The sequence below is a fragment of the Homo sapiens genome, chromosome 2, assembly GCF_000001405.40.
Source record: "Homo sapiens chromosome 2, GRCh38.p14 Primary Assembly".
Taxonomy (NCBI): Eukaryota; Metazoa; Chordata; class Mammalia; order Primates; family Hominidae; genus Homo; species Homo sapiens.
Genome location: NC_000002.12, coordinates 240739113 through 240764616, shown reverse-complemented (window position 1 = coordinate 240764616; position 25504 = coordinate 240739113). Strand labels below are relative to the sequence as shown.

At 60.4% G+C, this 25504-nt stretch overlaps 1 protein-coding gene across 28 annotated transcripts in view, besides 1 other annotated feature; it reads left to right on the top strand.

Annotated features, from left to right (window-relative positions):
- The window catches only part of KIF1A (kinesin family member 1A), a 107637-nt gene that overhangs the window by 56787 nt on the left and 25346 nt on the right, over nucleotides 1–25504 (top strand). For 16 of the 28 annotated variants that reach the window (NM_001379653.1, NM_001379650.1, NM_001379635.1 and 13 more), the window contains 16 exons: nucleotides 1271–1451; nucleotides 1526–1598; nucleotides 1805–1898; nucleotides 3240–3388; nucleotides 3774–3952; nucleotides 6120–6257; nucleotides 14070–14188; nucleotides 17296–17381; nucleotides 18440–18578; nucleotides 18708–18879; nucleotides 19100–19190; nucleotides 20557–20675; nucleotides 21633–21688; nucleotides 23240–23348; nucleotides 24253–24319; nucleotides 24475–24559. In NM_001379653.1, the coding sequence (NP_001366582.1) occupies nucleotides 1271–1451; nucleotides 1526–1598; nucleotides 1805–1898; nucleotides 3240–3388; nucleotides 3774–3952; nucleotides 6120–6257; nucleotides 14070–14188; nucleotides 17296–17381; nucleotides 18440–18578; nucleotides 18708–18879; nucleotides 19100–19190; nucleotides 20557–20675; nucleotides 21633–21688; nucleotides 23240–23348; nucleotides 24253–24319; nucleotides 24475–24559 (1857 nt within the window). Of the gene's footprint in view, nucleotides 1–1270; nucleotides 1452–1525; nucleotides 1599–1804; nucleotides 1899–3239; nucleotides 3389–3773; nucleotides 3953–6119; nucleotides 6258–7022; nucleotides 7299–14069; nucleotides 14189–17295; nucleotides 17382–18439; nucleotides 18579–18707; nucleotides 18880–19099; nucleotides 19191–20556; nucleotides 20676–21632; nucleotides 21689–23239; nucleotides 23349–24252; nucleotides 24320–24474; nucleotides 24560–24947; nucleotides 25062–25504 lie in introns of all 28 variants that reach the window. The other 12 variants (NM_001379645.1, XM_047444819.1, NM_001379633.1 and 9 more) reach the window with 4 other exon arrangements.
- Nucleotides 23925–25124: an enhancer, noted in NCBI's record as "P300/CBP strongly-dependent group 1 enhancer chr2:241678910-241680109 (GRCh37/hg19 assembly coordinates)". NCBI's record gives its function as "activates an origin of replication core promoter dependent on BRD2, BRD4, P300/CBP, MED14 and CDK7 cofactors, with strong dependence on P300/CBP, by STARR-seq in HCT116 cells {active_cell/tissue: HCT116}" and the evidence as "EXISTENCE:reporter gene assay evidence [ECO:0000049][PMID:35650434]".

Below are 25504 nucleotides of genomic sequence, written 5' to 3'. Positions count from 1 at the left end.
TGTCTTAGGGGAAAGCAGAGGGGGTGAGGAGGGGCAGGTGACACCCAGTGGCCCCACTTCTAGCCCATCTGCCCACCCCCGAAGGCTTTCGGAGGAGTCTTCGGGACTCAGGAGTCCTGCCTGTGGGGTCCCTGGGCAGGAGGGCAGGACACACTGAATGTCCTGAATTCGTGGGGTGGCCTTGTAATGGGGAGTCGGTGTGGCTAAGCCTGGGCGACAGCTGGTCAGACGGACAGAGAGACAGCTGTGCCCATTCTCCCTGCTTGTTTTGGGGTTGGCCCTGGTGCCTGTGGGGCTCAGGGCAGGGCCTAGGCTAAGAGAGGCCTTAGCTTGGGGTTTCCCTCCCAGTGTCCGAGGTGGGCTGCATACGGCCTGTGGACAGGGAGGACAGAGGAAGTGGCCAGCTGAGAGCAGCCAGCAAGGAGGTGCTGAGGGGGGACAGACCTGCAGGCACGGGCCACCTGGGTGGGAGGCAGGGCAGAGCCGGCTCTATGGGGCCCCAAGACAGAGCTGCAGCTACTAGGGAAAGTCAGAGGAAAACTAGGCCATCCAAAGAGAGCCCCTGCAGGCAGGACTGTCCCAAGACAGTGAGTGCTGCCCTGGAGGGCCCTGCAGATGGGGCAGCCCTGAGGGGGGTCCAGCCGGGTGCTGGGGTGGGAGGGGCTGGACTGATGCCCATGCCTCGGTGGCCCTGATGCTGAGGCTCTGCAGCCACCTGTGCCTGCTAGTGGCCGTCCCTGCTTCCTTCTTGTGGTCTCTGGACTCCGGACCCTGGACCCCAGCCCTGGGCACAGGGGACCTGCCCCAGCCCTGCTTCCAGTCTAGTCGGGGAGACAGATGGAAAGGAAAGGTCCTGTGCCCTGCAGCAGTGCTCTGTGGAGGGCCCAAGTCCAGCTCTGGGGGCACCGGCCCCAGACTGGATGTGAGAAGGAGGGTCCTGGCTCCCATGTGTGCACAGGGGCTTGGGGGCAGGAGGCAAGTACAAGGCTGGCCTGGGGAGGGGCGGGGACACTGGAGCACAGCAGAAGCCCCAGATCTGTGGTTTGCAAATGTCACTGGATGCTGAGTGGAGAGTGGCCAAGGGTGGATTTATGGGGAGAGTGAGGAGACACATTCAGGTCCCAGCGAGGGCTGAAGAAGGAGTGGCTGGGAGCTGGGGATGGTGGGGTGCCTGCACCCGTTCCCCTTTCTCCTCACGCCTCCCCGCTTGAGACCATCAGGGACCTGAAGATCCCCATCCCTCAAGGCCACCTGTCCCTCTGTTCCCCAGGAAACCGCATCATCATGGGTAAGAGCCATGTGTTCCGGTTCAACCACCCCGAGCAGGCCCGGCAGGAGCGTGAGCGCACGCCTTGTGCGGAGACGCCAGCTGAGCCTGTGGACTGGGCCTTCGCCCAGCGTGAGCTGCTGGAGAAGCAGGGCATCGACATGAAGCAGGAGATGGAGCAGAGGTGAGGCGGAGGCCACCCCCAACTGCCTGCTGCCCCTCCTGCCCTCCCGTGCTCACCCCAATGCCCCCTTGCAGGCTCCAGGAACTGGAGGACCAGTACCGCCGCGAGCGGGAGGAGGCCACCTACCTGCTGGAGCAGCAGCGGCTGGTGAGTGACGTGGCCCCGCCCTCCCTGCCCAGCCCCCACCCACACCAGGGGACCCCTGTCCTCCCACGCCCCCACTCCTCCCTGCTTGCCTGGCCCCATCTCTTGCATCTAAACAGTGGGATGTGGTGAGGCCCACTGTCTAGGCGCAGTGTGAGAGGCCCAGGCAGGTAGGGCCGTAGTGGAGTCACAGGCCTTGCTTTCTGCAGGACTATGAGAGCAAGCTGGAGGCTCTGCAGAAGCAGATGGACTCCAGGTACTACCCGGAGGTGAACGAGGAGGAGGAGGAGCCCGAGGATGAAGGTGAGGGGTCACTGGGCCAGCACCTGCTGCGTCAGGAGGGTCTCAGCATGGAGGTGGGCAGCCCTGGGCCTCTCCCTGGAGGTCACTGGTCAGCACTTTTGCCCTGGGGTCTGGACCTGTCTCTTTAGGGAAAGACCTCCTTGCCCTGGGAAGCACCGTGGAAGCAGCATTGGGGGAGGGGGGATACTGTGCCACAGCTGGCAAGCAGCTCTGCACACTCACGCACTGGCGTGTGTACACACATGCACACATTCACGTGCACACATGTACACACGTGCACACACATGCTGCCTCTAACAGGAGTGGCTGGATGATGATGGGGAATGGGGCTGGTAGGGGCTCACCATGCTCATGCGTCCACTCTTCCCATCCTGCTGACCACAAGGCTCATGGGGCCCCCGAGGAAGAGTCCACTGTGCACATCACCTCAGGATTCCCTCAGTGAGCATGTGCTCCGGGGGCCAACCCAGCTGACCTCCCGCAGCTGTGGGCAGAGGTGGCCCACATGCAGGTGGGGAGGGGTTTGCACCCATCTCAGCCTCTGGCCAGGTGGTCAGCAGCTTTGTGCTGGCATGACCTTGGTATCTTCCCCTGTTTGGCCTCATTTACCCAGCGAAGCTCCCTCCCACAGCAAAGCTCAGGCGTGCCAGATTGGGGGCAGCCAAAGGCGTGTAGTGCTGTGTTGGGAGGAGGGGTGGGGTCTCAGCACAAGGACAAGTCCCTCCTTGTGTCCCTGCTTGTCCTTCTCTCAAGGGCCCAGTGGACAGACAGGGCATGGGTCGGGGAGAGAGTGTACGGGCCAGGGCCACCTGGGAGCACCTGGCCTGCCCTCCTGCCTCCTCTCCTGTGGGCCCTGCTCCCCACTGCTGGCCCCAGATGGTGTGTGGCTGTCATTGACGGTGTTGCTCCCCCAGCCACTCTGATCTTCAGCCTGACTCACAAGGCTGCTCGTGGCGGCCTCTCCTTTGGGGCATGCAGAGCTTTTCATGTTGCTCACTGTGACAGAGCTCTCTGCCGGTTTCTTCTTTCTGTGTACCCAAATAGTTAGTGTGAAACGGGGTGGGGGGCAAGCACAGAGCTCTCCCAGCCCAGACCCAGAGTGAGAGGAAGCCTGGGGAGAGAGGGGCCTGTCCACCTCTGGCCTCAGTGACCACAGGGGGAGTAACCTTCCAGCCTTCCATCTTGTTACCTGATAACCACCCGGCCGTGATGTACACAGAGCACAGGGTCAGCTTAGGCAGCCCCATGGAGTGGCCGACCAGCCTGACCTTCCAGAGGGCGGGGCATGGTGGGCAGGGTCATGGCCTTCCTGCGATGACCACGTGTGACCTCTCCCCACAGTCCAGTGGACAGAGCGGGAGTGTGAGCTGGCGCTCTGGGCCTTCCGGAAGTGGAAGTGGTACCAGTTCACGTCTCTGCGGGACCTGCTGTGGGGCAACGCCATCTTCCTCAAGGAGGCCAATGCCATCAGCGTGGAGCTGAAAAAGAAGGTGGGCTGCCCACTGGCTGTACCGTTTCCTGTTGGAGAGAGTGTGTCACCTCACTCATGACGGGGACAGCTACTTGGGACTCAGCACTTGGCTCTCTGCCGGCCCCGGGGGTGGCATAGCAGCCCTGCCTGACCTGGCCCCCCAGAAGGGTGGGCAGTGAGGGAGCCCAGACCTGGCCAGGTGGGACTTGGCTGCTCACGGGAGACGGCGGCCGGGTGGGCAGGCAGGAAGTAGGTGGTCCCCCCTGGCGGCTGTCTGAAAGGTTCCAGTGAACCATTGTGGGGCAGGCAGCTGAAATCTCCAGAAGGTGGGAAGGAAGCCTTTTTGGGGACCTGGCACCCTGTCCCCCAAGGAGCTGACGAGTGGTCATCTTCCCCTGTCACAGGTACAATTCCAGTTTGTCCTCCTGACGGACACACTCTACTCCCCTCTGCCACCCGACCTGCTGCCCCCAGAGGCCGCCAAAGACCGAGAGACGCGGCCCTTCCCCCGCACCATTGTGGCCGTGGAGGTCCAGGACCAGAAGAACGGGGCCACCCACTACTGGACGCTGGAGAAGCTCAGGTGGGGCTGGAGGGCCGCTGGGTGGATGGTGGGAGGGTCCTCCTGGGCAGGGCTGAAGCCACAGGAGCGGTGGTAGGCACAGGCTTCACAGCGAGTACCTGCAGACACCGCTGTTCCTCCTGTTCCAATTATTTTAAAATCAGAAGAAAAATGTGAATAGAGTCCAGCCTTGTAGAATCCTCATTCTCTTTCTACCAATGCAGCAATCATACATAAAAATAGATTTGGACATTTTCTTTCGGAGGAAAGGACAGATGAGGGGAATGCTCCCTAGGCCCACAGGGGTCAGGACGGTGCAGTGGAGGGGAGGGCAGGCTGTGGCACCGACAGAACAGGCTGGCGGAGCGCCAAGAGCGGGTACAGCAGGGCCTGAAGGGTGGCTCCCCAGAGGGACTGGGAGAGGTGGTGGGGGATGGAAGGAATGCCCCCTTGCTCCTCCATTCAGGAAGCTGCCGGGAGGTGGATCCCTTAGCTGAGCCCAGTGGAAGGTGGAGGAGGAGCTGAGGTGGGGGTGGTGAGGAGGAAGCCTGGGCTGTGCCCCTCTGTGCCCAACGTGAGCTGGTGTCCTTCCTAAAGCTCGGCCTCTGCTGTCCCCACATGCTCACGCTGATTTGTCTTGAGCCCTTAATTTTTTTTTTTTTTTCTTTAAGAGACAGGGCCTTGCTCTGTTGCTCAGGCTAGAGTGCAGTGGTGTGATCATGGCTCGCTGCAGCTCAAACTCCTGGGCTCAAGTGATTGTTCCACCTCAGCCTCCCAAGTAGCTGGGACCACAGGAATGGAGTGCACTATGACACCCAGCTAATTTTTGAATTTTTTTTGTGGTAGAGATGAGGTCTCGCTCTGTTGCACAGGCTGATCTCTAACTCCTGGCCTCAGCCAATCCTTGCACCCTGGCCTCCCAAAGTACTAGCGTTATAGGTGCAAGCCACTGCACCCAGCCAGGCCTCAAGTTACGGGGGTGACTGAGTCACCATGTGAGGTCAGCGCCATCAGTGGGGGAGTTGAATGTCACTCACAGGCCCCTGGGAAGCAGAGCATGGCACGCCCCACCCTGCAGGGCTACAGGGGGAGGCACCAGGCAGAGAGGAGTAGGAGTAGGGGAAGGCCCAGGCCACAGCCTGGGGTTGTGGGAAAGGCCAGGCAGAGCAGGGAGACAGCTTAGGCTTGGCTAGTTTGAATAATTCTGCAGGGCTCTGGGGCATAGGGCTGTCCCTAGTTGTCTGGTACCTTGTCCTGGGTGATTTAGGCCAGGGGGAATATTGGCCTGGTGTGTGAAAAAGTTAGAGAAAGGAGGTGGCTGGGGTACAGACTTGGGATTGGTTGGTTTGTGTAGGAAAGGCAGGGGTGATGGCAAGTTGCTGACTGTCTCTAGGAATTATCAGGACCTGGGCAGCCCTCCCCAGCCTGCAGTGCCCCCCAAGGAAGTCAAAACATCACAAGATACAGAAAATAAAAATATGATTAATGCATTCATACACACATACACATTCATGCAAACACACACACACACACACACACACTCATAAGCATTCATGAAGATGTGCACATATACACAGCATACACTCCCACACTCACCCTCCTCACTCTTCTGCCCTGTTCTCCCAGGTTACGTGGCTTGGAAGGACGGACAGCCACTGTTGATGTGGTTTCTCTTATACCTGAGATCTAGGGGCACAATGATTGCTTTTCCTTTGTCCTACATTAAGTTTTTCTTGGGAATAATAATTTGTAGGCTATTTTCTCTGTCTTCTGTGTCCCTACCCCCAGTTTGCCCTTTATTCCTCGAGCTCTTGCGCCTCTGTGGCCTGATCCCCGTTTCTGAGCTTCACTTGGGTTCTCTTCCCACCTCTCCGCCAGCTTTCCAGCAGCCCAGTGCCGCCAGCCCCTCTAGCCCCTCACTGCTTGTTCCCCAGCCCACCCCCTGGAGGGAGTTTGGGAGGAGCTGTTGGTGACCTTGCGTGCTTAGCTGAGTACGTTACTTGTGACTGACCAGCTCTAAGGGTCACAGAGGGGGTCTGTCTAGCAAGCCCCCTGGACCTTGATGACCCTGAGCTGGATGTGGTGGCCAGAGCTAGGCTGAGCCCACTGTCCCCAGGAGATAAGGGTGTGCGGTGCCAGCTGCTGAGCGCTGGGCCTGGGTCCACATTGACCCCTGCCGTCCCTGCAGGCAGCGTCTGGACCTGATGCGGGAGATGTACGACCGCGCTGCAGAGGTGCCCTCCAGTGTCATCGAGGACTGTGACAACGTGGTGACCGGCGGAGACCCCTTCTATGACCGCTTCCCCTGGTTCCGGCTGGTGGGCAGGTGGGCGCCTCCTCCCTTCCTTGGCAGAGAGAGAGATTGAGAGAGAGAGATGGCAGTGGGGGTAGGAGTGGGCCCTGGCCTGATACAAGGAGCGGCCCTGACAAGTGCTTTTCCAGCCCCATATTCCCAGCCCTGTCCTCCCTGGCCTGAGGTTCCTCCCAGCCATTCCTCTCCACACACCACAGGGCCTGTTATTTCAGGGGACGTGGGATGGGGTCTTGGCACTGCCACCCAAACCCACTGCAGGGCTGTAGCCGCCAGAACCCATGGGTCCATGTGTATGAATATGTGAGGCTCCCAAGCAAACTTTCCAGGTCACCTGTTGGTCCTGAGGGTGGGAACATGGAGGCAGGGCTGTGTCACCTGAGCCTTACAAATGGCTGCCTCCTTCCCCGGTCTCCAGTCTGGGGTCTGCACCCAGCCCCCTTCACCCCATGGGACCGTGGTATTCTGAGGCCTCAACGTGGCCAAACTCTCGAGGTCCTCATATGGCCTCAGCCACTCCCAGCCGAGACCCCTGTTCTCAGTCCCACCTGCAGGTGTCCTCCGGAACCTTCCGGAACCTTCCTGCTGGCCATACATGTGATTTCTTTCCAAGCCTGGGGGCACAGTTTTGGTTCTCTCATCTTTTAAAGCAGCATTCTCGATGGTCTGTGTGTTTGGTTTTGGTTTTAAACAGAAGCCCCCCAGCCCCGGCCCCGGCCCCTGTTCGTCCCTGCGAGTCGCTGGTGTTAACTTCTCTCTGTCTTGTCGCACTAACCTCAGTTCAGCCATCTCTGGCTGCAACAGCTACCCTCTTCTCAACACATGCATGAGCGAGCGCATGGCTGCTCTCACCCCCTCCCCCACCTTCTCGAGCCCCGACTCCGACGCCACCGAGCCTGCCGAGGAGCAGAGCGTGGGGGAGGAGGAGGAGGAGGAGGAGGAGGAGGAGGATGAGGAGGAGGAGGACCTGGAGGACGACGTCTTTCCGGAGCACGCGCTGTGCGACGGCCGGGACCCGTTTTACGACCGGCCCCCCCTGTTCAGTTTAGTAGGAAGGTTGGTGAGGTCGAGGAGAGCATGCTGGGGAGGACCCAGCTCTTTTGCACAGGAGCACTGCTGCGGGCACAGAGGAACCGCTGGGGCCTGGCCCGGGCCCTCCCAGGGCAGGCGAGGCAGGTGGAGGGGCTGGCCTCCTGAGGAGAGCACCCGAGGGCCCCCGGGCCCTGCATCCTTGCAGTGGGGCTGCTCACCCATCCTGGAGACGGTCGCTTTGGGCCGGCAGGGAAGAGTCTGGGTTCCAGGTACAGAAGAGGTAGTGCACCCCGGAGCTTGCAGCTGTGGCCCCAGGCAGGTGGGACTATTTCTGCAGAGAGGCCGTAGGAACCCCGGAGTGGCTCAGGCACCCAATGGCCGAGTTCCTCCCTGAAAGTCCCAGTGCAGGGCCCAAGGGGCATTTGATAGGTGAGGGCCAGCCGCCCCCAAGCAGGATGCCCGTCCTGTCATTCTCCTGGGAATCAACACTGTCCTAGCGGAGGCAGCCTCACCCCAGCTCAGCTGTCATCCAGAAGAGACAGAGGCTCCCGGCTGCTCTCAGTGCTCTCCACTCTCTTTGGGGAAAGGAGCTGAACTCAGAGGCAGCCATCCTGAGGCCACTTTTAGGAGTGGGAGGCAGCTGCTAACCCTCCCATCTCCCTCTGAAATGATGGGGCCTGGGCAAAACATGCCTGTCTAAAGGTGAGGACTACTCCATCCCTCCTGACCTCCTCGGTTGTCATGGCCAGAGATGGCGGCATGTGGCCCAATGCCCTCATGGAATGTGCCCTTTGCAGAGAGAAGCTGGTTATCACGTTGCCCAAATGGATGAGAAGCCACGGTTGGGAGACAGAATGGAGGCTGGGGAAGCCCAGACCCAGGGAGCAGACGTCCCACCCTGCTGGCAGATTTGGCAAATCCAGCTGCCTTTCTGTTATCATGGAAGGGAAGTCAGGTGAAGGAAAGATCTAGAAACCTGGCTGTAGTAGTCAGAAGGTCAGCTCACGAAACAGCTGAATTTATATATTTTACATATATGAATGTCATAAGATAATTCTTAATAGCAACCTTTTTTTGGCGATTAAGATTGCTTCCCTGGGCTAGGCCAGTGGAAGTTTTCAAAAGTCTGGAGCTTGGAGCAGCAGTGCTGACAGCTGAAGGCTAAGGGTGGCCCCAGATCGCAGGGTTTACACGGGCTTTACTCTGTCCTTGGGTGGAGATGGTGGAAGGAAAGCCTCACCCTCCCTCTTGGAAGACAGCAGGTCCTCATGGGCAGGTGCCATGGATTTATTCTGATTAATTTTTCATGAGTGTTACTAGGCTGTGAGGTGAGATAAGCTGGCCTACCAGATAAAAACCTGTGGCACTCTCCCTCCGAGATGCTCTGGGCCTGTACTTCCCACTCTGCAGGGCCCAAGAGGGAGCAGTGGACCCCAAGGCCAGTTCCATGCAGGCCTCTCTCAGAAAGCCCCGGGCCGTAGGGCCAGGCCCCCTGCACCTCCTGGGCCCCAGGAGTGGCTCCGGGTGTCAGGTAGGTGAGGGATCAGGACGCACAGGGGGATGAGGACATCAGGAGAAGTGGGGTGGGGCTCTCGCAGTCTCAGCCAGAAAGAGCTGGGTCCTTCCAACATTTTTTTCCCCTTTTGTGGATTTGAGATTTTACGAAACTACCAAACCAAACAAAAGTCATCAAAGAGAGACCTGGCCCCCATATTGCGGGGTGGTCTGTGAAGGGCTTCATTGGGAATCATCTTGATCTTTTTGGTTTGGCAAGAATTGGCTTCTCCCATGCAGCAGCTGTGCAGGCCCGGCCCTGGGAAGGCCCCTCGTTGATTTTCCTTTAACCTTCTGGTAGCTGCTGGCTCTCTCTCCAAAGCTTCAGCGAAATTGGGGCACCCACTCTTGTCCCCTCTGGAAAGGCTTCCCTGGGTCCCAGCATGCGTCTTTGCACCTCACCAATCTGTGGTTAGCACCTGCCTCCTCCCTCCCTCCCGCCACACTCAGCCCTCGCTCTGTCTGCCTCTGCTGCTGCCTCTCTTGGGCTGGGTTTCAGTCTGCTTCAAGGTACCCTGGCCTCTGCGGAAGGCCTATCCAGCACTGGCCTCCTGTGTTCTGCACTGGGGCTCCTCACCCAAGGCCAGGGTCAGCCCCCAGGGGCCTCTGCCTCTGGCGGTCTGGGGCACCAGGTGACCTGGGGAGGCAGGTGGGTTGGTGACCACTGCCCATATTCCAACAGGAGTGGGCCTGGGGCTCTGATTTCCCCTGGCATAGGAGGGGTAGGAAACACAGGAAGGGTGGGTGGGCACAGGAGCTGCAGAGAGAGCAGGGCGAGAGGCTGACTGCCTGGGATAAGGGTCCCTGGGAGGGGAGCAGGGCTGGGGAGGGAGCGCAGGTGTCTAGGGCTGGGTCGATAAACGTTGCTCCAGCTCGAGGGCTTCACTCTGGGTCAGCTCTGTGCCCTCTGGACTGGCAAGGCCACGCCACTCCCTTGGGTCCCACATGGTGCTCTTGGTGGGCTGGGGCCCCTCTGTCTTGGTATTTGTAGCATGGCTGCGGATGGCGTCTCTCGGCCCGAGATCCTGAGAGCCACTCTGCGTTGGGTGTGTCTGTGGCTGGTAGGGACAGGCCTGGGCTACGCTCTGGTTCCCAACTGATGTCAGGTTATTTCTGGCACCTAGAGGGCAGGTGGGGGCATGGCCTGCCCAGCATGTGAGACCTGCGGCCCTGGAGGGTGTCTCCACTGGGCAGAGACGCCAGGCTCCAAGATGCCAGGCACCAGTGCTCTGCCCCATCACCTCACACTTCGGGTGCATTGGTTGGCATGGGCTCTTCGCAGAGTGGAGGGGCACCTTCCGGGCCCAGCTCACAGCTCTCTTGAGGCTGGTGCTGCCACTGGGGCAGTGGATTCAGGGCCCTAGAGGTCCCTTCTGGCTGAACAAGTCTATCACCGAGCCAGGCAGACTGGGACGGGCAGTGGGGAGAGGAGAGCACCCAGCACTAGAGCCACAGCCAGATCCACATGTCCCACCGGTGGCCTGGGGCCCGAGGTCAGTGCCATGAGGATGCTCACAGGGTGCTGTAGAGATGGGGGAGCATTTGGTGTCAGACCTCCGGGGTCCTTTTCATTGTATAACCTCTACCTGGATGTCCCTCGGGGCCCCACCCCCAGCAGTCCCCACCTTTGGGGCACAGTCTGGGCTGCATCTTGCCCATCTGTTTGAAAGCAGTTAGCAGCAGTCTGTGATGCTACAGTGTCTGGGTCCTCCCAGCCCCCAGCATGAGGACAGTCCAAAAAAGCATGAAACAATCGATCTGCTTAATCAATCAGCTGTGATAACTAAGCAGGTGCCCAGGTGAATTGCCCACTCAGAGTGGGTGAGGAGGTGCCCATGGAAGCCAACCCTGGCCCTAGAAGTAGGTGGTGGAGCTTGGTGTCCACACAGTTGAGCTGGAGATGAGTCCCTTGCAGGCCCTTGCTGCCAGGCCCTGGTGACTTCCTTAATCTCTTTGCCTCAGGGTCGTCCTCTGTGCGATGAGGTATAAGTACCATATTTCATCGTTCTAATGTGCTGAGACCCTGGGTGGATTTTTTGCATCTCTAAGAAAGAAGGGTGCAGCTGGTTGAGTTGAGATGGCTGTTTATTAGGACGTGCCCTGGCGAGGAGATGGGGGTGCACTGCCTCCCAGGAGGTAGAAGAGCAAAAGGCCCTGTGTGCTCGCCACTGTGCTTGGCCCCTAGGGAGCCTCCACAGATGCCGGCTGCTGTGATTTCTGCCATGTTGCTTCATAATGGGATGATCTGAGCCTGGGGTTGCGAGGGGCTTGGGCCTCCTCCTCGAGCCCAGCCCCTGTCTGATTTGTGGGGCACTCGAGTCTGTGCTGTGCTGCTGGAGCCTGAGCCCACAGTTGGCAACATGGCAGAAGGCGTCTCCTCAGAGTCAGTTCCACACAGCGTTTGTTCAGCAGGGAGCCCTTGTGGAGAGAGCCAGGATGGGGCCTGCCTGCTACAGCCTCACAATGTGACCTGGGATGGGCCTGGCCCCTGCCTCAGTTTACCTCTCTATGCACTGCCTCAGACCCCCTTGGACCTGGCCTTTCAGGGCAGTGGGGGAGAGTGAGGAGGGGATCAGTGTGAGACCCTGAGAGCTAAGAGTGGGAAGGGAGTGGCCCCTTCTCTAGCTCAGGTGCAGAAGTCTCCTCCCTCTGGGTGTGGTCCTGGGTAGCTCAGAAGTTGGTGGGTCACCTTTGTGGTGCCATGAGTGGCACATGTGGATGGCCCCAGAGCCCAGGGCTCTGCTCACTGCCAGCAGCCCCTGTGGAATTGCCCTAAGCTTTGGGAAGGCAGCTGTGGTGATGGGTCTTTGGGGGTAGGAAAGGTAGTGTCTGACCCTGTCTGGGTGGCCCTGGACAGCTCTAGCCTCTCCTTCCTGTGAGCTGCGCCAATGGATTCAGGAACCCCGTGCCTGAGTGTCCTCACCTGGCCCACAGTGGGAGTGGTCCCAGGTCCTGCCCCCTCTCCGAGCACCACCCCATGGGCTTCCTGCAGAGTGGGGTGGGGGCAGTCTCTTCATCCTCAGTGCCCTTCTGCCCTCCAACCCTGGGATTTTTGCAGTGGGCACTAGCTCTGGGAAAATGTGGGGTGGGTGGGGGCTGGAGGGCAGGGGCTGGCTCAGAGCCCCACAGCATGGGCTGTCCCGTCTGGTCTCATTATGTCTCCCCCAGTGTGGTGCGCCAGCCACGGGGAAGAGCCGTGCTGTCTGGCGGCCCAAGTTCTGGCTCTCCCCACCCCCACTCCTGGACAACTTAGCTTTGCTCAGTTTGTAGCAGCCCCTTTTCCCACCCCCACTGTCAAGCAGAGACCCTTGTCCAGGAGCCCGGGGTGCCCTGGGGAGGGAAGGCATTGCCGTCCCCCTCCCAAGGGGATGCTGGTGAGTCCCTGCCTGCGGAGCACCCAGCAGGACTGTGGGGAGGGGCCCCGCCCTGTGGGCCTCAGTGTCCTCTCGTGACTAGGGCCAGGGTGAGCTTCCATGGGCGCTTCTGGACATAACCTGGGTGGGTGGCCCAGGGCAGTGGAGCTCCAGCCCCCACACCTAAGTCAGGCAGAGCCGCCTGCAGCCCTGTGGGTAACAAGTCCCTGATGGGCTCCATTGGTGTGGGGTACTCGCTTCTCGGGGGGCATCTTCAGAGGGGGCGTTGTGCTGGGGAGAGGGCCCAAAAAGCCACCAGGGGCTTCCTTTACCCCCGGAGAGAGGCCTGAGGAGACTTTCAGGCCCCTGGAGGGCAGCAAGACCCTTTTCCTGTTGCGAGCCTGGGCCATTTTGCAGTGAGGGCGTTGGTGAGGTCTCAGCTTAGCAGGGCCACTCAGAAAGCGAGGGAGGTGCCATGAGGATGTGTAAAGTCAGAATGAACGAGACGGCCAAGGGGAAGGTCCTGACAGTGACTGGGATTCTGGGGCCTCTGAGGAGGCTTGAGGCCGCAGATGAGATGGAGGGTAGGGCTTCTGCATTGGAAACAGAGACACCCGGGGCATCCATGGACCCATGGGCCACAAGGCTGAGCTTGACTGTGCTGGGGAGGCAGGGCCTGGACCCCCAGGGCCACATGGGGCATGGACACCCCTGCAAGGAGCTTGAGTGTCACCAAGGGCATGGGGGGATGTGTCTGACTGGTGCCTTAAGACCTTTCTGTCTGCTGTGGGGGCCATGGCAGGGTGGCTGGTGGTGATGGGACAGTTGAGGGGGGCTTCTTGAAGACTTTTGAGGTGGAACTGATGGATTTGATGAGTAGGAGGGGCCCCTGTGCTGCTGGTTTCTGACTTGCTGCTGCAGGAAGGTCAGGGGTATTAGGGTGTGGAGGGAGCAAGGTCAGGAGCCCACCTGAGAGAGGTGTTGGGCGTTCACAGCCCGCTGAGTCTCACTCATCCCCTCATCAGTATCTGCTCTGGAATCGAGGGCCCCAGGCACGGCCCTTTCCCATGCTGGAGGTCATGGTGCTCAGAGCCACACCTGCCTGGAGCAGGAAGCAGGGTATCCTTCCGCCTGGCTGTGTGGCGTGGGGTCTTCCAGGGTCCTCTCTGTCCTCCCAGCTGCCCACATATTGGTCAGCACAGGGAACGCAGCAGCTATCTGGCGACCGTAGGTACTCGTGGTCTCTGCCTAGGCCGGTCCTAGGAAAGGGGGATCTTGGTGCTCTGGGTCTCTGACAGGGCAGGCTGGGCCGCACCGTGGCCCTGGGGGTGTCCTCAGGGCTCCATTCAGCACCTCCCTGGGCCCTGGGCTGGGGGTGCCTCATCTTGGCCAACTCACCTCGGAGCTCCCACCTGCCGAGTTTCTGTCTGGGGAAGGGGTTCTGCGGGGTCCGTGAGCATCAGGGACCCCTGGGAAGTGGGCAGGAGGCAGAGCGATGCTGGCCATCAGTGCCAGTGTGAAAAGGGGGGCAGTGCAGTGTGGTCTGGGTCCTGGTCTGGCCCCCGTCCTCCTTGAAGCAGGCTGAAACCTCCCTCCTCGGCTGCTCCCTTCTCAGGCAGCCAGGTCCGGGCCCAGCTGGACTGTGCCTCTGCTCTCCGCAGCTCATTCCTCGTCCTCCTCTCTGTCCCTCCACCTCCTGTCTCCTGTGAGTGCCTGCCCTGCCTGTCCCCGCCCGCTCTTGCTGTCCTGGCCTTGGCTGTCCTGTCCGGCGGCTTCCCTCTGCTTTGCAGCTCCATGTTGTGTCGTGAGCCAGGCCATGCTGCCACCGCTGCCGTTCAGAACATGCGTGGAGGGGTGGCCCATGACCGCCGCCTCTGCTTCTCCCCAGGGCCTTCGTGTACCTGAGCAACCTGCTGTACCCCGTTCCCCTGGTACACCGTGTGGCAATCGTCAGCGAGAAGGGCGAGGTGAAGGGCTTCCTCCGCGTGGCCGTCCAGGCCATCTCAGGTGCGTGTGGGCCAAAGGCCGTGTGTGGCATTGGAGCCCCTGGGGCTGGCTCTGACCTTTGCAGGCAGAGGCGTGGGCCCAAGAAGGGCCTTCTGGCATCATGTAGTGGTTAGTGGGAAGCTGGCCTCAGCTGGCCCTCCACTCTCCCTGGGGTCAACCTGAAGCTGTTTTTCCACGCTGTCCTGGGCTGGCGCCCCGGGCTGCTGCCCCGCAGTGGGCCCTGGAGGGGAAGCCCCTGCTGCCCAGCTCTTGGCTCTGGACTCCCCAGGGTCAGCTGGAGGTGCCTTGGGGGCTGTGCAGGCTGAGCCCAGTGCCATCTGAGCCTGCTCTGGTTGGGGGTTTCCACCTTCCCATCAGGCAGTCCCATATGGACCCAAGACCACCTGGATCCCTCCCCCAGCCTGCTGCAGAGCAAGTGCTCTCTGTCAACACATTCCACCCACCCGGCTGTCTCTGCAGCCCCAGGAAAGGCGTGTGAGGCCCAGTCCCTGGCCCCTGGGCCCTGCTCAGGGCAGCCCTCCCTGGGGTGCTTCTGGTTCCCTGATGCATTCCCTGGTCTCTCAGGCACAGGCCTGTCCCCCTCCACACTGGGCCTGAAGACACAAGCCCCTCCCTTGTGGGAGGTGGAGACTGGTGCTGCTCAGCCTGCTCCGGATGGCCAGAGGCACCAGGGCAGCCCCAGAGTGTCTGAGCCTTGGTTTGCTCACATGTAAACGGGATCCGTTGTAATGCTCCCCACCTGATAGGAATGTTGAAGGGTACTTGAGAACACAGATGTGAGAGCGCTTGGCTGCCTGGAAGCTGCAGGGCAACAGGCGGCTTGTGCCGTGAGGGAAGGTCCCACTCCCTTCCCTGCCTGCCCCGGGCTCCTCCACCAAGGTCTCCCCTCACCAAGGAGCACTCTTTTTCCTCTCAAAGGCCTTGGCTGCCTGGGCACCCTAGGGAGGGAGTAGTACAGACAGACAGACACACAGACAGGCAGATGGATGCAGAGAGGACGTGCATCCATGGCTGCAGGGGGGCTCCTGGCTGCCGGGCTGGGGCTGCTTAGAGGAGCGACCTGGAGCAGGCTGAGATGGCCATACCCCTCCCCAGATGGCAAGTCCCCCAACTCCGAGATGGCTCATATTCTCCACCCTGAGTTACCTCATATCCCCTGCAAGATGCAAGATGTCTGGTTCTCCCGGCTCTGCTATCCTGGCTGCCTTGGGTGATTTTAATCCCACCTAATTAATGAAGTTAATTTGACTCTAATGTTAAATTCTCCTTAGCCCATAATTTCTTTCTTTTCTTTTTTTTTTTTTGGACAAAGTCTTGCTCTGTCGCCAGGCTGGAGTGCAGTGGCTGGATCTCGGCTCACTGTGCAACCTCTGCCTCCCAGTTCAAGCGATTCTCCTGCCTCAGCCTGCCGAGTAGAGTAGCTGGGACTACAGGGGTGCGTCATCACGCCCAGCTAATTTTTTTATTTTTAGTAGAGACGGGGTTTCACCATGTTGGCCAGGCTGCTCTCGAACTCCTGACCTCAAGTAATCTGCCCATCTCGGCCTCCCAAAGTGCTGGAATTTCAGGCGTGAGCCACCACGCCTGGCCAGCCACCCTGCCCAGCCTAGCCCATAATTTCTAAATGCTGTTTATAGCACCTCCCACTGGCCATGTCATTGCTTGTCATCCAGTCACTGTGATACCACAGTGCTGAGAATCAGGGGGCCCAGCTGGGGAGTGAGGGTGAACACCAGGGAAGGGCCCCAGCCCTGCTGCTGGAAGGTGGGGTGTTTACCAGGGCTGCAATACTCAGGGAAGCTGGGAACACCTATCACCTCTGTCTCCCCTCCAGGAGGTGCCACCCCCACCTCACCAGGTCCTCCCAATCCTGCCTTGTGCCAGCAGCTCCCACCAAGTGGTCAGGATGGCTGAGCGGAGCCATCCTGAGCACTTCCTCCCACTGGCCCCCACCCTGACAGCCACTTCCTGAGAGTGGGGCTGCACCAGAGGCCGTGGGGCCGGCCCATGTCCTTGTGAGGGCAGCTGCCGTCCTGGTCTGCCCTTGGTCAGAGGAGCTCTCTGGGGTCCACATGGAGGTTTCCCATTTCCCAGGATCCGAGTTCAAGCTCAGTGCAAAGCTCTACCTTTGTCCTGCACCCTATGGGGTTGAGAGGTACCCCCACCTCTCAGATGAGTGTCGCCAGTTAGGAAGGTGTACAGCAGCTCTGAGCCCAGGTCTGTGTGCCCAGGTCCACAGCCCCTGCTATCCCATGTCATATACTGGGAAACCAGACTGGGATAGTGCCTAGGAAGTGCTCCTATCCTGGGCTGCGTCGCCAGGCCTCCTGCCGGCCATCCTACAACTGGATCATTTTATGTTGGGTGATACCTAATTGTTTCCCTGTCTAATGGCTGTGGTGGTGGAGAAGGGAACTTAGAAAAGGCACCGGCCCTTGCACTGGTGGTGTCAGAAGTCTCATCAGCCCTGCCCGTGACCCGGGCGAGGTCAGTTTGCTGTTCCCTCAGCACTGACTCCTGCATGAGCAGGCGCTGACTGTCACAGACCATGGCAGGACAGAGCTCAGGGCTTTAGGCAGCAGGTCCACTGAGAGCTTTGAAGGCTGGGGAGTGTGGGCGCATGCACCGGCAGGCCTGGGGAGTTGCGTGGAGGGGCGGTTGGTGGCCCTTGAATGTCTAGGCAGGTGACAGGTGGTAGCTTCACCCAGATGGTGGCAGAGGCACTTTGTGATTCTGGAGGTGGGACCAGCAGGGCTGGTGGGGTGGTCTCTGCACATGGGGATGGGGAGGGGCTACCTGGGTTCTGCCTGAGCACCTGGGAATGCGGGCAAGATTTGGTTTTGAAAATATAGACTTTGTGACTCCTATCAAGGTGGGCTGTGATGAGGCCGTGGCTGCTTTGGGGCCCCTGGGCAGGCGGGTGGTCAGTGTGCCGGGACATGCCCTGGTTGTCACTGAGCCACGGGTGGCAGATTCGGTCAGGGGTCTGCTGCCTGCTCTGGCTCCTGTGCCCTCACTTTGACTGCGGGGTGGCCCAGCCTGGCTCTGCCCACACCCACCTCAGGGGACAAGCTGGGCTCCAACCATTTGCTCTGTTTCTCCTGCAGCCGATGAAGAGGCCCCTGATTATGGCTCTGGCGTCCGCCAGTCGGGAACTGCTAAAATCTCCTTTGATGACCAGCATTTTGAAAAGGTACCAAGCTCCCTCCCGAGTCCCAGACCTGGAGGTGCCTGGCGCTCACTGGAGTCCTGTGCACTTTGCTCCTCTAACACCCCTGTGTCCCATCCCACGGGCCCTGAGTCCTCTTGGGGTTCTTCCCTCTGGTCCAGAGCACTGAGCCTGCCCCATCTCTAAGCACACTGCGCCCCTTTTCCCGGGTTTGCCCTGACCCCTGGATCCGCCCATCTCCCACCACGGCCGCTCCAGGGTCCAAGTCGGGGCGCAGAGCAGGTGGACAACACGAGCCTCCAGAACAGACACTGAGGTGCAGCCACCCCCACCCTGTCTCCCTTCTCTGGACCAGCTCTCCTCTGGGTCCCCACAGTACGGCGCGTTCCCACTGCCCCCTTCGCCTGCTCCTTCGCCTGCTCCTGGGCTGCCCCCCTGAGGCTGCCTACCTGCGGTCCTCATGTGAAGGGCCGGCGCTGTGTCCAGTGGCACCTGGACCACTCAGTCTCCTCTTCTGCTCTTGAGAGAGTGGTGGAGGAAGGTCCCCAAAGTGCACCCCATGCCACACTCAGGTGGCTCCTGTCCCCACCTTCTTAGACTCGCTTCTCACCCCTGCCCACCTGGCCGTGCCGTCACCTGGAACCTGGGTGCCCTACTCCCTGAGCGAGGGTGGTCTGTCTGCCCAATGCCTTTTCTCTTGGAGGGGCTGTCAGTATTGGGGATGCCCAAGAAGGGGAGGGGAGAGAGCTAACCTGCTGGACAAGGGGCCCTGGCAGGCGGGGGTCCGGCTGAACTGAAGACCAGAGCAGAGAGGCAGGTGGTGAGTTGTTTCCAGGACAGCTCAGAACTCCCATGGCCATAGGCTGTAGAATCCAAAGACACACATCCACAGCAGGGAAAACTGAGACCTGGGGAGGTGGATGCCCCCCTACAAGGCAGGCACAGGTCTGGTGCGTGGGTTCATGGAGGCCCCAGCCCAGGCTCTGGGTGGCACAGCCCTCCCGTGGGCCTGTGGCAGGGTCTACGGTGCCCCTCCTCGGCTGGCTCCTGGCTCTCTCTGACTCTGGTCCCCCTCTGATCAGTTCCAGTCCGAGTCTTGCCCCGTGGTGGGGATGTCCCGCTCGGGAACCTCCCAGGAAGAGCTTCGCATCGTGGAGGGCCAGGGCCAGGGTGCAGACGTGGGGCCCTCAGCCGATGAAGTCAACAACAACACCTGTTCAGGTGGGTCGCCCACCCCAGCTGCCCAGGGCGTAGGGGATGCTGAGACCTGGTTCCTGAGCCCGGCCCAGGCCTGTGGCTGGAAGACAATATGGCCTGGAGGTCCATGACTCTCTCCTTGACTCCCAGCAGCAGTGCCCCCAGAAGGCCTCCTCCTAGACAGCTCTGAGAAAGCCGCCCTGGATGGGCCCCTGGATGCTGCCCTGGACCACCTCCGCCTGGGCAACACCTTCACCTTCCGTGTGACAGTCCTGCAGGCGTCCAGCATCTCTGCCGAATATGCCGACATCTTCTGCCAGTTCAAGTGAGGCCCTGCTGCCTTTGTGTCCCTGCGCTGCGCAGGGACTCTGTGCCCAAGGCTCCCGTGCCTGGGTGCTGGGCAGGGAGCAGGCCATGTTGGTGCTGTGTTGGCCCAGCCCGCAGGCCCTGAACGCCCCAGCGCCCTCGTGTGAGGTGGGTTCCACCTGGTAAGGTCTCATCCCAAGTCCCCCACCCCACACCAAAGCATCTCCTCTGCTTTGCAGCTTCATCCACCGCCACGACGAGGCCTTCTCCACAGAGCCCCTGAAGAACACAGGCAGAGGCCCCCCACTTGGCTTCTACCACGTCCAGAACGTACGTTCCTGGGCACTTCTCCCCATCCCTGCCACTGACTGACCCTCCCAGGGCCTCTCTGAGCATGGCTCATTCTCCCTCTTCTGAACACCAGTTGTGGGCCAGGACTGCCTTGTGCACCGGGAACTCCAGTGCCAGGCAGGGTGTAGGAGCGATTTCTGGGCAGTGGGAGACCCTTGATGGATTTACAGCTGGGGCATGGGGGCCGCTCAGAGCCCCTGGGAGCTGCTCATAGTGAGCATAGAGCCGATGGGGAGCCGGATGCAGGTGCAGTGGGGCCTGGGATTTGTACTGAGGGCCGGGGGTGCTCAGCCAGGGCAGCCCTGGCTTGGGTGTTGGGAATGGGAAGGAGGCAGGGCCACAGGGGCTACAGGGTGCCGGCAACGTCCCGAGAGGTCTGGAAAACTCCAGGCAGGAGAGTGATGGCAGCTGGGCTGCTAGGATGATGGAGAGGAGGGGCCTTTAAGGCGGAGCAGCTCCTTCTCCAGGCGGGAGAACTGGGCTCCTGGGGCAGCAGGGGAAAGAGTGCCTAACGGTGATAAGGAAAGCTACCAGGGAGCCAGGCCTTGAGTGCCAGGCCACGGGTGTGGATTTGGCAGGGGTGATAACCTGGAGACTCAGTGGGTTAGTTGGCTGGGACTTCTGTCACAAAGCACCACAGGTGGGGGCATCTAAAAACAACAGAAATGTGGCCTCCCATCGCTCTGGAGGCTGGAAGCCCGGGATGAGGGTGTGGGCAGGATTGCCCCCTTCTTAGGCCTCTATCCTTGGCTTATAGAACAGCCGCCTCTTCCTTGTGTCTGTTCACATGGCCCTCCCCCTCTGCGTGTGCCTGGGCCCAAACTTCCGCTTTTCATAGGGACAGCAGCCATGTTGGATTGGGACCTACTCTGATGACCTCTCGTTAACTCCGTTTTCTCTGTAAAGGCCCTATCCCAGGATATACTCTCATTCTGAAGTCCTGGGGTTGGGACTTCAACATACGAATTTGGTGAGGGGACATGGTCCAACCCATAACTCTTGCTGAGTGGGGCAGGACCTAAGAAGGGGAGTCCTGAAGAGACCAGCGCTGCCCTTTGTCACCTTTCCCAGCTCCGTGTTCTGAAAGGGCAGCTGAGCCACGCGGCCCCTGTTCGTCCTGGAGAGAGAGCCCGAGGGACACACTCCAGAGTCTGTCTGGGGCACGTGGTGGGAGGAGGGGCTGGGCTGAAGGGCCTAGAGGAGGCTGCTGCCCCTGGGCAGACGTGGGCCCAGCTAGGGGTCCCAGATCTGGGCCTGAAGCGCTTAGCTCACTGATGTGACTCTCCTTCCCCCTTGAATGTGACCTGGCCGTGCCCTCCTGTCCTCCCACCTGCCTGCCCACCAGATCGCAGTGGAGGTGACCAAGTCCTTCATTGAGTACATCAAGAGCCAGCCCATTGTTTTCGAGGTCTTTGGCCACTACCAGCAGCACCCGTTCCCGCCCCTCTGCAAGGACGTGCTCAGGTTAGCGCCCTGGGTCGGGGGGTTCGGGGCTGCTGTCCTCAAAGCCCCTGCCCAGATCTTTTCATCCAGCTGTCTTGAGGCTGCAGAGCCTATGCACCCCCTGAAACCCACCTCCCCTGCCCATCCAGGAGGCCTTTTGCCCAGGGCTGGCAGGACTCAGAGAGCAATTAAGAGCTCTGGGCCTGCCTGCAGCTTCTCTCCTTCGGGACTGCAGAGAGTTCCTTGTGAGCATTGCTTGACCTCCTGCTGGCCTGGGCAGTGTGCAGGGGCTGCCAGCTGTAGGATGCTGGGGTGGCCCCGGGGAGACCACTTCTGCTGCCCACCGAGGACCCCAGGAAAGGGGCCCAGCTGTGCCACACCCTGGGGAAGCCCGGCCTAGCTCCCTCAGTCCACGCAGCCTCCTGAGGCCTGGAAAATGGGGGCTCAGAGAGACTTGCGGGGCTGGGGCATGAAGTCAGGACTTCCACTCAGGCCATCTCACCCAGACCCTTGAAGGTGGACAGGAGTGTCTACCCTGGGCCAAGCCGACCCCTCCTGGGCACCTCGAGTGCAGAGAGAACTGCAGAGAGGCCTCGGGTGGGCCCTTTCTTCCCATCTCCATCTCCCCTCAGCTGTCAGGCAGGACTGGGAGCTCAGGGGCCCTCCAGGGTGTCAGGGAAAGAGAAGGGCAATGAAGGCTTTGTTCTGGGGGTGCTTGTCTGTCCTCGCGAGTGCCTGAGGGACTCTGGACTGGGAGCCAGAGCTTGACCCTTGCCCTGGTTCCCTGTGGCCTCTGGGGTGGGAGCTGGGGTCCCAAGGGTCCCTCCTCTTCCTCCCACCCAAGCTGGTGGACGGTCTTGGAGAAGAGAGGGTGGGAGGGGCCGGGATGGGCACCTGGGGCCTGTAGCCCTTCTGTCTCCTTCTGACCCCTCCCGCCCAGGGTCCCGCAAACACCTCACACTGGTCCTTTCTCCACAGCCCCCTGAGGCCCTCGCGCCGCCACTTCCCTCGGGTCATGCCACTGTCCAAGCCAGGTAGGAAGGGTCTCTGGAGCCGTCTCAGGGCAGTGAGCTCCCCTCACTGTGGGTGCTGTAGTGGGCTGGGCCCCCGCAGTGAATGCTGTCCTCTGTGACTGGGCTGTGCCCTCCCAGGCACTCTGGCGCCACCCTGAGCCTGTCAGGCCTCACGGGGTCCCCATGGAGCAAGGGTCTGCCCTGTGCCCAGAGAGTAGCCTGGAGCTGGTGGCAGAGGTGTGGGGAGCCAAGGAAGGAAGGCAGCAAGAGGGTCGGGGGCTTTGAGGGGACTTCAGGCATCTCAGCTGAACGCAGAGAGGTGGAGATTTGGGGATGAAAGGCAATCTAGGACGCTCCTTCACGGGGGTCTGAGGCTGGAGGTGGGAGCGAGAGTGTGGGGTCAGTCGGGGAGAAGTATTTGTCAGAGCTTTTGCCTGGAGCCTGGAGCCTCTGCCTGTGGGAACAGGTGGGTCATGGAATAGCACTTGAGATCCACTGGCTTTTAGTTAAAAGAGTGGAGTTTATTTCCTGCAAGACCAAAACCCAGGGACATGGTCGGGGGAGAGCTGAAGACAGCCAGACTGAGGCCCAGCAGGTGTGGCCGAGTCTCTCATAGCCCAGAAACCCTCCTGAAGGAGGGAGTGTGGTCCCGGGCACCAGCACCCCAGAGGGTAGGGGCCTGTGTGAGAAGCTGCTTCTGCAGCTGGTGGGTGGAGGCACTGGGTCTGCACACATGGTGACCAGGTGTCAGCCTCTTGTGCCTGCCTTGCAAGGACCCTGTCCTCGGAACCCCTGTAAGATGAAGGTTTGCGGGCTGAGGACACTGTGGGAGGACACCCTCCAGCTGCTGCAGAGCCAGTCCCTGGTCTGTACAGGCTTTGTGGCCCGCAGTATGAGTTCCCTGAGATTCAGTCCTCCCCACAGCCTGCAAGAAAGACCTGTAGATCCATATTTGTAGGAGAGGCAGAGGAGGGGACTTGCTAGAAGAGGACCTGTGTGATGGGTCTCAGAGAAGGGAGTGGTAGACAGAGGTGGGTGAAGGATGTGAGGACAGAGGCTGTTTGTCAGGAGCTGGACACGAGTGGAGGGTCAGTGGGAGCTGAGGGACAGGTCCTCTCGGGCCAGGCCTGGGTGCTGGTGAAATGTGCTTGGACAGGTGTAGTAGGCTGTGGCCAAGGTGTGGTGTAGGCAATGGGCCTGGCAGCATGGCAGAGCGGCCCCGTGAGGGTTGTGGGGCTTTTGAACAAGGGTATGTGCGGCTGCCCTGTTGGTTCTTGGGGTCTTGACCACTGTCCTCCTCATGAGCTGTGCCGAGTGTACATGGCCATGTGCCTTTCCTAGCCGGGGCACAGAGAACGTGAGCGTCCATGTGACGTGCTAAGGCCACAGAGTGCCCAGGACCCGGTGTATCTTGGGAATGGCTGGGGTTGGCTGGTTGTTTCCCTTGAGGAGGGGGAGGTGCCCTTGCTGCCTCTGAGTCCCTTTGGCCCCGGCATCTCCTCCTTGAGTGTGCCCTTGGCACGTGATAGGTCAGGTCTCCCATCCATGCATGCCTCCCTCCTGTCCCTACAGTGCCCGCCACCAAGCTCAGCACACTGACGCGGCCCTGTCCGGGACCCTGCCACTGCAAGTACGACCTGCTGGTCTACTTCGAGATCTGTGAGCTGGAGGCCAACGGCGAGTGAGTGCTGGTGCTGGGGCCCCCAGGGCGTGAGTGTGTGTCGGGGGGTGCGCGGAGAGGGACGAGGACTTGAGCTGCCTGAGGGTTGCCAGCATCCAGAGTCGTTCTTCCAGCGGGTGTTCACTGCAGACCTCTTGTGGGCCCGGCCTCATCTAGGTCTTGGGGAGTAAAAGCAGACAAAGTCCTGGAGGAGCTGGCATGAGGGGCAGGGAGGTGCTGGACAGATAAGCACCTGAATTAGTGTCCCCATGGTCCTGAGCACTAGGACAGCAAACCAGGGTATGGCTCAGGGGCAGGGCAGGGAGGCAGACAGCACTTACAAAGTGATCAAGGGACTTTTGAGGGAGGTGGGAGGGGAGCCCTGAGGCCCTGGGGAGGCAGGTTCCAGGGCCCCAGGGTGGAGGCCAGTGGGGGTCTGCCTGGTGCCCTGGGGGCAGCTGGGAGCTGGGCTGTGGCTGGCAGCTCAGAGTGGGGCCTGGTGGAGACTCGGATCCTTGCCCAGAGTGGGACAGGAGCCTTAGATGTTGGAGAAGACGAGCCCATCTGCTGGGATTTCCTCTGGATCCTCTGGCCTTGGGTTGCGGATCTGCAGGGCATGAGGGGAAGCAGAGGACCCTTGGGAACTTACAAAGATCCAGCCCAGAGGGGCCAGGCTGTGCCATACCGTGTCTCCTTGTTGGACACCCTGCCAGTCCAGTGGGCAGGGCTGGGAGGTGATAGCCAAGGAGGCCTGGTGGGTTTCTGTGCTCAGCTGACCGTGGTCTCCATGGATCAGACCACCTGATCTTCACCAGAGGGAGCTGCTGACTTTTCCCTGTTTTTGCTCCCGTCCACTGTGTCCTGTGCTGCGGGGAGGGCAGAGAGGAGGGGCTGGCCGCTCCTCACATGTGTCTCTCTCTTCCAGTTACATCCCGGCCGTGGTGGACCACCGTGGGGGCATGCCATGCATGGGGACCTTCCTCCTCCACCAGGTGTGAGCCCCTCTTGCCCCTACCCTGCCTGTGTCCCCTCCCCCACCCCACCAGGTGTGAGCCTCTCCCTGCCCCTACCCTGCCTGTGTCCCCCTCCCTCACCCTACGTAGCCCCCTGAGCCGTCTGACCATATCCTCTCACCTGGCACCGGCAGGGCATCCAGCGACGGATTACGGTGACACTACTGCATGAGACAGGCAGCCATATCCGCTGGAAGGAAGTGCGCGAGCTGGTCGTGGGTGAGTGCGGTGTGGGGGCTGCCTTGGTGGGTGGGGCTGAGCTGGTGGGAAGAGTACAGGCCCTGAGCTGGATACCCGGGTTCTAACCACACCTCTGCGTCTGTTGCTGCGTGACCCTGGCCGGGTCACATAATCTCTCTGTGACTCACTTCCTCACCTGAAAAGGAGAGCCTTGGACCTGGGTGACGATCTGCAAATTTCTGTTTAATCAGTGTATTGGAGTTCTGGGGCTGCCATGACAAAATACCACAAACCAGGTAGCTTAAAACAGCAGACATTTATCATCTCACACTTCTGGAGGCCAGAGGTCCAAAATCAAGGTGCCGGCAAGAGGCGCGCTCTCTCTCTCTGAAACCTGTTGGGGAAAATCCCTCCCTGCCTCTTCCAGCTCCTGGTGGTGGCCAGCATCTTGGGCGACCCTGGCCTGCAGACGCATCACTGCATTTTCGCAGGCTTCTCCTGTCCTGTGTCTTCCTGTGGCCCTTTCTCCTAAGGACACCAGGCAGGTTGGATTAGAGGCCCATCCTGCTCCAGGGTTGACTGCATCTTTACTCAGTTTGATCACCTCTGCAAAGCCCTACTTCCAAATAAGGTCCCCTTTGAAGGTCCTGGAGGTTAGGACTTCCACGTATATTTTTCGGGGACACAATTCCTCCCATAACCATCACCAAGGATCTTACACTCTTTTCTTCCATGACCTCATGTTTCGAATTCGGGTCCGCCAAATGTTTCCTTTGCTAAAGCGGAAAGAATTTGTCTTCTCAGTTTTCATTCAAGGAGGCAGACAGTCATCCATTCAAGTGTGTCACTAGCATGAGGCCAGCCCAGCCCTGCCTTGCCCCAGACATTGCCATGGCCGGGCTGGGTGGCTGCTCAAGGTCACTTCCCTGAGGCTGGACCCGTCACCTTGTGTCCCAGTGCAGGACTGTAGACAGGAGGTTCCAG